This window comes from Homo sapiens, chromosome 16 (genome assembly GCF_000001405.40).
Source record: "Homo sapiens chromosome 16, GRCh38.p14 Primary Assembly".
NCBI classification, from domain to species: Eukaryota; Metazoa; Chordata; class Mammalia; order Primates; family Hominidae; genus Homo; species Homo sapiens.
In genome coordinates this window covers 2,646,812-2,657,085 of record NC_000016.10, presented here as the reverse complement: position 1 = coordinate 2,657,085, position 10,274 = coordinate 2,646,812, and the positions used below count along the sequence as shown (strand labels likewise).

The following is a 10,274-nucleotide window of genomic DNA, read 5'->3' as shown; positions in this document are numbered from 1 at the left end:
TAATGACAAGAAAAAAAGTCTGTGCATGTTCAGTACAGATGCAATTTCTTGTTTTTCTAATATTTTCTATCCACTGTTGGTTGAATCCATGCATGTGGAGTCAACCTATGGATGGGGATGGCAGACTGTACTCTCCTGACAGGTGGTTACAAAGTATTTCTATCTGAAAAGAGCTGGCTGCAAAGCAGCATGCCCAGTATAACTTTCCTCAGGCCCAGGGAAAAGCTTGGAGGGAGGTTCCCACAGAAACATTAGCAGTGGTTTCCTGGGCCAGTGGGATAAGGACCAGGCATTGTGCTAGCAGTGGAGAAACAGTGGTGAATAAGGTAGGTCTGGCTCTGTCTCCTGGAGCTTACTGGACTGAAGATGAACCTTTCTCCACTAATTTTTATTCTGAAAAATTTCAAAACTAAAGAAGAGTTGAACGCATAGTACAATGAATATCCCTAGCCTTTCACCTGGATTCTACCAGTTGTTAACCTTTTCCATATTTGCTTGTATATGTTACCCTCTCACCTCCCCAAATTTTTTTCTATTATTTTTATTATTTGAAAGTAAGTCACACACATGATAGCATTTCACCCCAGAATCCTTCTCCAGGTGCCTTCTGAGCTCAGAAGCTGTCTCCTCTACAACCTCATCATTATCACATCCGAGATAGAATTAACATTGCATTTTCTTTTTTTTTTTTTTTTTGTTTTTTTGAGATGGAATCTCATGCTGTTGCCCAGGCTGGAGTGCAGTACTTTGATTTTGGCTCATTGAAACCTCCACCTCCTGGGTTCAAGTGATTCACCTGCCTCAGCCTCCCAAGTGGCTGGGACTACAAGTGTGTACCACCGTGCCTGGCTAATTTTTGTATTTTTAGTAGAGATGGAGTTTTATCATAACATGGCATTTTCTAATGCAAAGGTGACATGCAGCCTTCCTCAGTGGTCCCCAGTCCTCCTCAAAGTCCTTTATAGAGACAGTTTTACTCTGTTGCCCAAACTGGAATGCAGTGGTGTGATCATAGCTCACTGCAGCCTTGAACTCCCCTGGGCTCAAGCCATCCCCCAGCCTTAGCCTCCTGAGTTGCTGGGACTACAGGCCTGTGCCGCCACACCTAGCTAATCTTTTTTTTTTTTTTTTTTGAGATGGAGTCTCAAACTTGTCACCCAGCCTGGAGTGCAGTGGCACGATCTTGGCTCACTGCAACATCCGCCTCCCAGTTTCACGCCATTCTCCTGCCTCAGCCTCCTGAGTAGCTGAGATTACAGGCATGCGTCACCATGCCTGGCTAATTTTGTATTTTTAGTAGAGACGCGTTTCCACCATATTGGCCAGGCTGGTCTTGAACTCCTGACCTCGTGATCCAGCCTCCTTGGCCTCCTAAAGTGCTGGGATTACAGGCGTGAGCCACTGCACCCAGCCTAATTTTTGTATTTTTAGTAGAGGCAGGGTTTCACCATGTTGGTCACGCTGGTGTTGAACTCCTGACCTCACATGATCCACCCAACTTGGCCTCCCAAAGTGCTGGGATTAGAGGCATGAGCCACCATGCCCAATCTCTGCACCATGCCCAGTATCCCTTAGTGGCCCTTCTGACTTTACACTGCTTTTCCCTCCTGACAGCGGGGCCCTGCTTTCGTGGTCTGTATCCTGCTTGAGCAAGGTGCCATGAGGCTTTTCCTAGGCCTTGACTTTGCTGTAGCTTCTAAGGTGTCCTGTGGCGGCAAAAGGGACGTGTGCTCTGTGGGTGGGTGCAGCCACCTGTAGAGCTGCAGCTATATCCCCAGGATGGTTGTGTGACTGATGGTCCTTGGGGAGCCCAGCAGTGAGGATCTCAGCAGCCCACCTGTCTCAGAGTCCCCGCTGTGCACCCAGGCCCAGGGCTCAGTGAGTGAGAGCTCTCCGACCTCGGTGGGGGCGGGGCTAATTGACCTTCAGACCCACCGTGTGCCAGTGCTGGCTGGCACACAGCACTGCTTGGACTTCCCCTGTGGGAAAGGATGGGGACAGATCAGTCTTTGGAAGAATGGAGCGCTGGCTTTGCTCAGCCCTGTTCTTGGGAAGGTTTGATCTGGAGAGCCGCAGCAGCCAGACCCTGGGGAGGCAGGTTAGTGAGCAGGCTCCCAACTTACGAGCTAGGAAGGCTGACGGCTGTTCATTTCCCCCCATGTGGACCTCATCGGGGGTCCTTCCTGAGGGCGAGCGCTAGGTTCGTCTGCGTTTCTCTCTCCCAGTTGGGCCTGACTCTGGACGCCAGGCTGAGGGAGTACACAGCTCCTTCAGAGCACGGGCTCAGACGCTCAGATGCTCGGAGCGCTTCCGGCTGCTTTTCCATGGGTAACTCACATGTTCTTCCTGCAGGCTGGCATTTGTCTTTCATGGCTTTTTTCCATCGGTCAGAATTACAGTCTTTTGATTGTATGTACGTACCTGGTTATTATCAGATATCTAGTTTAAAATGTGCATCTGAATATAGATTTTCTTGGTGAACGCATTGCGTTCTCATTCCGTAAAAAGTCGGAAGCTCAAAATGATGCTTAAAAAAAAATCTTAGCAAGCTCTCCTGTGCAGATGCTGCTGGCGCTGAGCTTTGTGCCTGGGGCAGAAAGGGTGAGGACGGCCCCGGTTGGTTTAGGAAAAGTGGTTATGAACAGAACGGGCCCCATGCTCCTGGCCTGAGGAAATGTTGTGTGAAAAAGATGGCTTCTACAGCTTGAAGGGGGACGGTCCACCTGATGCTCCTGTCCCTCTCTGAGCCCCAGGGGCAGAAGGGAAACAGTCAATAGCACGGCCGTTGCAGATGGTGCCCATAGAGGGAGGGTAGTTAGTGTCTGAGCAGGAGAGGGTGACCGGCCTTTGTGGGGCTGCTTCAGAGAGCCGGGCAGAGTCTGGGCCCCAACGTGGACTAGCAGGGGAGGAGCTCTCCTGGCTGGGGTGGCGACTCGGGGAGGTCTGGGTTGCCTGAGCAGGGAATCGGCCTCCAGTGGGGGAGGTTCTGAGTGGGACGCGCTCTTCGTGTGGGCCTGGAGGACCTCTAGGCGGCCTGCACTCGCCTGATACAGCTGGCTTCTGCTGGGAGGCTGGGTTTGCATCCAAACTCTGAGACCTTTTGGACAAAACATGCCAAAGAAGTTGGTGGTAGTAAGAAATTCATACTAAACTTGTTCTGTTAGGGTTTTTTTCCTTCCAGGTATATTATTTCCCTTCAGTAGCCCTACATTTTAAAAGTTAACGTTCAGCGTTGAGTCAGGGTCAGGTTTTGAATGACACAGGATGTTTTCAGATCCTGAGTTTACCTGAAGCTCTCAAAGTAGCCTCCTAACAAAAATTATTGAAAACATCAACTATTTTGGAATACTTTTAGGTATGTAGAAAAATTGCAGACGACACAGAATTTCCATAATTTCCCCCAGCCAGCTTCCCCTAATGCCATGACATGACCGTGATACCTCTGTCACTCTGTCGAAACTGAGGTGTTCGCGCTGGCACCACACTACTCACCGAGCGACAGGCCTGTTTTGGATTTTATCAGTTTTCCTCCTGATGTCCTTGCTGTCCCAGGACCCCGCCCCGGTGCCACATCGCATCGCGTTGTCCTGTCTCATTCGCCCCCTCTGGTGTAGGATAGCTGCCGTCCTTCCTTGTTTGTCATCAGCTTGGTACTTTTGAGGAGTCCTGGTCAGGTATTTTGCAGAATGTGCCTTCATTTGGGTTTGTTTGATGTCTTGTGGTTGGACAGGTTGTGGGGTTAGGAAGAATCCCACAGAGATGAGGTGCCCTTAGTGCGTCGTATTGGGGTACAGGACATCCACGTGACTCATCGCTGGTGACGTTCAACAAAATTACTTACAAAACTTTTAAAAAATTATTATTGTTTGCTTTAGAGATGAGCTCTCGCTCTGTCATCCAGGCTGGAGTGCAGTGGTGGGATCATAGCTCACTGCAGTCTCCAACTCCTGGGCTCAAGCGACCCCCCCACCTCAGCCTCCTGAGTAGCTGGGGCTACAGGTACGTGCCACTGTGTCTGGCAAAATTAGTTTTACTTTACCAAAAGGAAGCACATAGGCCTGCTCTGCTCTCTGCTACTTGGGGGTTTTGTGTCATAGATTGTAGGACACTGGTGGTAATTTAATTTCAGAAGGGACCTTCTTGCTCACCCAGTTGGATCCTTCCAGTTTCTAGATGAAGACACTTGGGACCTGGAGGCCTTCTGACTTTTGGGTCAGAGCTGGCATGGAGTCCAGGCACCTGCTTTCTGCAGGCATGCATGCTCCTGGGACACTCTGCAGGGACAGAGCCATCCCCAGCAAGGCAGACTGACAGGGCTGGTTTCCAGTCGGGTGGGGCCGCATCCCTCCAGGGGATGTGAGGCAGGTTTGAGATGAGTCTGCTCCCCTTCTGCCTGCTGCTCCTGTCTTTTTTTTTCTTTTTCTTTTTCTTTTCTTTTTTTTTTTTTGAGACGGAGTCTCGCTCTGTTTCCAAGGCTGGAGTGCAGTGGCGCGATCTCAGCTCACTGCAACCTCTGCCTCCCAGGTTCAAGTGGTACTCCTGCCTCAGCCTCCCAAGTAGCTGAGACTACAGGCATGCGCCCCCACACCTGGCTTATTTTGCGTTTTTAGTAGAGACAGGGTTTCTCCATGTTGGTCAGGCTGGTCTCCAATTCCTGACCTCAGGTGATCCTCCCAAAGTGCTGGGATCACAGGCGTGAGCCACCGCAACTGGCCTAGGAGTAACTTCTTAATGAATATTTTAATAATATAAATCTTAGTCTGAATTTCTGACTGTGTCGCCTAGATGCCATGTAGGGGAATGGGCAGGTCAGAGGGTGTGGCCTGCGCTGTGGCGAGGCACTGAGGATTAGGTGCTGCAGTTTTCCTCCGGCCCCTCCTGGTTCCCTGGTGAACACACATCAGCCTCAGATGGGCGACCCCCTACTCATGGGAGGGCTGGGAGTGTGGGCCTTGTAGTTGGATTCTGCTTCAGAATTGCGTGTGACCTCACTGTGGAGTGTTTGACTGGACAAAAGCCTGCTGTATACTCAGTGTCCCCATCTGTAGAAAGGATGCCGATGGTACCCACCCCCAGAGTTGTTTTGAGGACTAACCACGATAATACATGTAAAATGCTCAGAAGAATGTGTGGCAAACAGCAAGCACTTAATAAATTTTTTTTTTAGTAGAGAAAAATGGCATTTTATTTATTTTAAACAACAGCATTTAAAGTTATACCTATAAGGGGCACACAGAAGATATATGGAGAGTTTAAAGAATGAAAATAAACTCACACGTGCCCACCACCCTACTTGAAAAACAGGATTTTACCAGAAGGCTCGAGTGGCCCTCCAGATTGTAGTTTCTGGCCCCTCCCGTTCAGAGGTAACTGGCATCCTGGTTTTCATGTTGATCAGTGGTGTTTAAAGTACACCTGTAGGAAGTTCCAAAGTGCAGGAAGGGAACAAAGCCTCCTTGCAGAGAAATCTTGTACTTTGGTGTTTCATCATCTGTTTGTGTGACAAATATACAACGTTAATGTTGAAGATGTGGGTTAGTGAAATTGAGACCTGGCGCTTCCTGAGGCTGGCAGCCCGGTTGAGCCTGAGGACCAGACTTGAGGCAGTTGGCAGTCCGCGCCTCGTTGCCCTCTGTCTGCCCTGGGTAAGTGAGAGGCTCCTTGGGAGGCCAGTGGAGATGGCTGTGGGAGGACAGATTGAGTAGCTGTCCTTGGAGCTGCTCCTCCCTCCCTTCGTGGAGAAATAGAAACAGCTTTCCTCCGGCCCTCACCTGTTGCCAGGGCTCCACGCTGGTGGGGGCGAGCTGCGTTTTGCTGAGTTGCACCGTGGGAGAGCGTTGGTGACCACTTGCCTGCTGTGGGCCAGCTCCCCGTGGCCAAGGACCAGCGTGGGCAGGGCCTTCGGGCACGGGTTGCTGGTACGAGCACACCGAGAATCCCCTCCGCCATAGGGCCTGCCCTGTGAGCTGCCCACCAGATTCCACGGAGTGCTTCACACTCCTGTCTGGTGTGGGTCCCGCAGCCCTTGTGGGTGGGCCCATGTCATTAGCCTCATTTTAGAGAAGAGTCTTGATGGGTCGGAGAGCGGTGGCTTACCCACAGGTAAGCTGTAAATCTGGAACTCAACTGGGGCATTGGTTTTGCTAGTCCACCACAGTTGTCCTTGGTGGTGGCAGCCTGAGGGGTAGGGGAAGGTGGCGGCTGTCCCTCCCTAACACCCCCTTCCTCCACCTGGTTTTCTGTGCTGGGCCTAGCTTTGTGGAGTTTTCTGAGGTGAGAGGAGGTTTTTACCAGAATGCTCTTTGCCAGTGAGCACAGCTGACCTGAGGGCAGGATCCCTTTGGAGATGAGCTAGGTGGATTGTGGCAGCCTCCCACAACTTTGGTCCGGGGGCCTGGAGAGAGCAGTTCCTGCTTGCCGCGTGTGAGAGTGTGCGGGCGCTGGCTCTACCTGTCGCACTGCATTCCCAGGCTCCAGAGCACACACTGCCATTTAAAGGTAGCTTAGCTTTCTGTTCGGGATCCTTTCTCTTGCTGGTTGAAGTGTTCATCTGCGTGACAGCATCTTGACCATAGGAGGCGCCCTGATTTCCATCTTTTTTTTTTTTTTGAGACGGAGTCTTGCTGTGTCGCCCAGGCTGGAGTGCAGTGGCGCAATCTCGACTCACTGCAAGCTCCACCTCCCAGGTTCACACCATTCTCCTACCTCAGCCTCCCGAGTAGCTGGGACTACAGGCACCCGCCACCACGTCCAGCTAATTTTTTGTATTTTTAGTAGAGACGGGGTTTCACCGTGTTAGCCAGGATGGTCTTGATCTCCTGACCTTGTGATCCACCTGCCTCAGCCTCCCAAAGTCCTGGGATTTCAGGCATGAGCCACAGCACCCGGCCTTTTTTTTTTTTTTTTGAGACAGAGTTTCACTTTTGTCGCCCAGGCTGGAGTGCAGTGGCCCAATCTCTGCCCACTACAACCTCCGCCTCCTGAGTTCAGGCGATTCTCCTGCCTCAGCCTCCCGAGTAGCTGAGATTACAAGTGGCCACCACGACACCCAGCTAACTTTTTTGTATTTTTATTGGAGACGAGGTTGCACCATGTTGGCCAGGCTGGCCTCAAGCAATCCTCCCACCTTGTCTTGCTAAAGTGCTGGGATTACAGGTGTTAGCCATTGTGCCCTGCCTGATTTCTTTCTTGATTTATCTCCCGTGTGTGAGGGAGCTCAGCCTTTCTATATAGTTTTGTCCTCAAAGTTAGAGTTGGGCCTTCTAATCCAGTAGATATTTAAGGCATTTGGAAAAGGGGACACGGTTCATTTAGCTTTGAAAGGCTTATTCTATGATCCAGTGACCGTTGGTTGAGAAAACTTTGTGTCTTCTGTGTTACTTCATTGTGAAAGTGCTTCCAGCTGGCTTCAAGGCCTGCTCAGGTGAATCTTGTAGGTGAACTCAATAAATCCTCATGGCAAATCTGGGAGGTCGGCCCTGTGGCTCCCTGACTTTCAGATGAGGAATCTGAGCCACAGAAAGCTGAGGTAATGTGCCAAGGGATTGACTGCGAGTGAGTGGCAGAGCGGGCGTTCTGACGTGGCACTTGGAACAGCTATGTCTATTTGAGGCCCAGGACTAGTTCAAGTGCAAAAGGCTGAGACAGGTTAGTAGCTAATGACTATTCTTTTGGATCTATTTACTCAGGTGATATTTTGGATTTTATTCTTCTGCAGCAGGTTTGTAGGGGGAAAAAGGAACCTTCTTAGGAGTCAAGACATGTTTAAGTAAGCTAGTTGCAGTTGCTCAAATATTGGATGTGTAGAGAACAGCGGCCTCCCCCTGAGGCTGAAAGACTGTTCCTCATTGCACTAACCCTGAGTCTTTAGAAGCTTCCAGCTTCCCAAGCTCATTTCTTCTATAAAATTCTTGCTTGGCCAGGTGCGGTGGCTCACGCCTGTAATTCCAGCACTTTGGGAGGCCGAGGCGGGCTGATCATAAGGTCAGGAGATTGAGACCATCCTGGCTAACACGGTGAAACCCTGTCTCTACTAAAAATACAAAAAATTAGCCGGATGTGGTGGTGGGCACCTGTAGTTCCAGCTACTCGGGAGGCTGAGGCGCAGGATAATGGCTTGAACCCAGGAGGCAGAGCTTGCAGTGAGCCGAGGTCACACCACTGCACTCCAGCCTGGGGGACAGAGCGAGAATCTGTCTCAAAAAAAAAAAAATGTGGCTCTGCATTTTAAAAAATCAGTTTTTGTCTTCCTGACAGTCTCGCGAGTGAAGCTGTTGTGTGCAGCTCTGGAAGACTCGAGGTGACTCTTGATGAGAGACTTGATGGGAGGAGAAACCCACAGGCCACTTGCTTTCCTTTGCTACCAGATTCATTTGCATTTTAATCTATTTGCTAATTAAATGGTTGCTACATTTAGCAGTTTTGAGTGTGGGATGCTGGATGTTGACATTTTTCTAAACACTTGTTAGTGACTAAACAATGTGCTGCATACTTCAGTTGAGCCTGGATTTGTTTTTGGTGGTTATGAAAACGTAATTAGATCTCAAATTAATTTTCCCTTGAGAGTTTCTACTTTTTTTTTTTTTTTTTTTGAGATGGAGTCTTGCTCTGTCTCCCAGGCTGGAGTGCAGTGGCGTGATCTCTGCTCACTGCAACCTCTGCCTCTTGGATTCAAGTGATTCTCCTACCGCAGCCTCCCTAGTAGCTGGGATTATGGCGCTGCTACACCCAGCTAATGTGGTGTATTTTTAGTAGAGAGAGGGTTTCACCATGTTGGCGAGGCTGGTCTTGAACTACTCACCTCAGGCAATCTGCCCGCCTCAGCCTCCCAAAGTGCTGGGATTACAGGCATGAGCCACTGTGCCCGGCAAAGAGAGTTTCTACTCTTTTTTTTCTTTAAATGAGATGGGGCGGGGGTGTCTCACTATATTGCACAGGCTGGTCTTGAACTCCTGGCCTCAAGTGATTCTCCTGCCTCAGCCTCACAGGTAGCTAGGACTATAGGCACACGCCACTATGCCTGGCTACTTTTTATATATTTTTTTGTAGAGATGGGGTTTCACTATATTGCACAGACTGGTCTTGGACTCCTGGACTCAAGCCATCCTCCCACTTCGGCCTCTGGAAGTGCTGGGATTACAGGCATGAGCCACTGCACCCTGCCTGGTTTCTACTTCTAAGAGATGGAGACTGCTGAACTTCATACCCAGACAAGTTAAAGAAATTGAAACTCTAAGTTCTTATATACATATTTTATGAAACAAAATTCTCAGAAAATGCCCAGTTTACCCATGGGCTACATTTTTACAAGTTTCAATTTGTTTAAAACTCAGGGTTTGTTTTCCTATCAGAGGTGTGGTTGGGGGCTCGGGCTCGGGCTGGGGCTGGCTGAAACCTGAGTGCCTGCTGTGGAAAGTAGCAACAGGACCAGCACCTGGTGGTCCCATCTGCCTGTGGGAATAAGTAGGGGGCAGTGACTCGTCATTGAGTGGCGCGGGGGGATGTGAGAGCCCCTCTTCCAGGGACTTGGGGGATGGCACCTGGTAGCTTTAAGGACCTAACCTGTTGATGGTGCTTATTCTCCCAGCCACATTCTGTTGAGAACATTGGCCTTTCCCTGTTCTCAGTAGACCTGTGCCGTGGCACGTCTTTCACATTTCTCAGCACTGATGAAGTCACAGAAGCTTGTCTCGACAGTGCAGTAGAAGGTAGAAGAGGACAGAGGGGGTCCTGTCCTGAGTGGGGAGATTGATTGATTGCCAGGACTGAGAAGGGGGTGTGGAAAGACGTGGTTGGCAGGAGGCTCCTGGTGGGAAAGAAGCCGCACTGACCTGGGCAGGCCTTGGTCATGAGGAAGGAGCCCCAGGGAGCCAGCGTGCGAGGCTGCTGGCGAGGCAGGCCACAGCTCCCCGCCTTCCCTTGGGGGTGGTGCGTGCACCTGTGTGTGTGTAGCAAAGCCCAGTGATCAGGTCATAACCAGGGAGTGGGGGGCTTGCATGGTGACCCCACACCTGTGAGGTGGGCACTGGTGTTTTTGGTGGACTTCTCTTGTGAGGAGCTTTTTTTTTAAAAAAAAAAAAAGAAAAAAAAAGAAAAGAGAGCCTTGCTCTGTTGCCCAGACTGGAGTACAGGGTCTCGGTGATAGTTCACCACAACCTTGAACTCCCAGCCCAAGTGATCCTCCCACCTCAGCTGGAAGTGGAACCACAGGTGCACACCACCGTGCCTGGCTCTTTTTTTTTTTTTTTTAATTTCTTTTTTAAAAAGAGACAAGG

General features: G+C 50.2%; 1 annotated feature.

The window, feature by feature from the left end:
• Positions 2,439-3,429: an enhancer, noted in NCBI's record as "H3K4me1 hESC enhancer chr16:2703658-2704648 (GRCh37/hg19 assembly coordinates)". NCBI's record gives its function as "activates a minimal SCP1, AML or CMV promoter by ChIP-STARR-seq in primed H9 embryonic stem cells {active_cell/tissue: H9 hESC(primed)}" and the evidence as "EXISTENCE:reporter gene assay evidence [ECO:0000049][PMID:30033119]".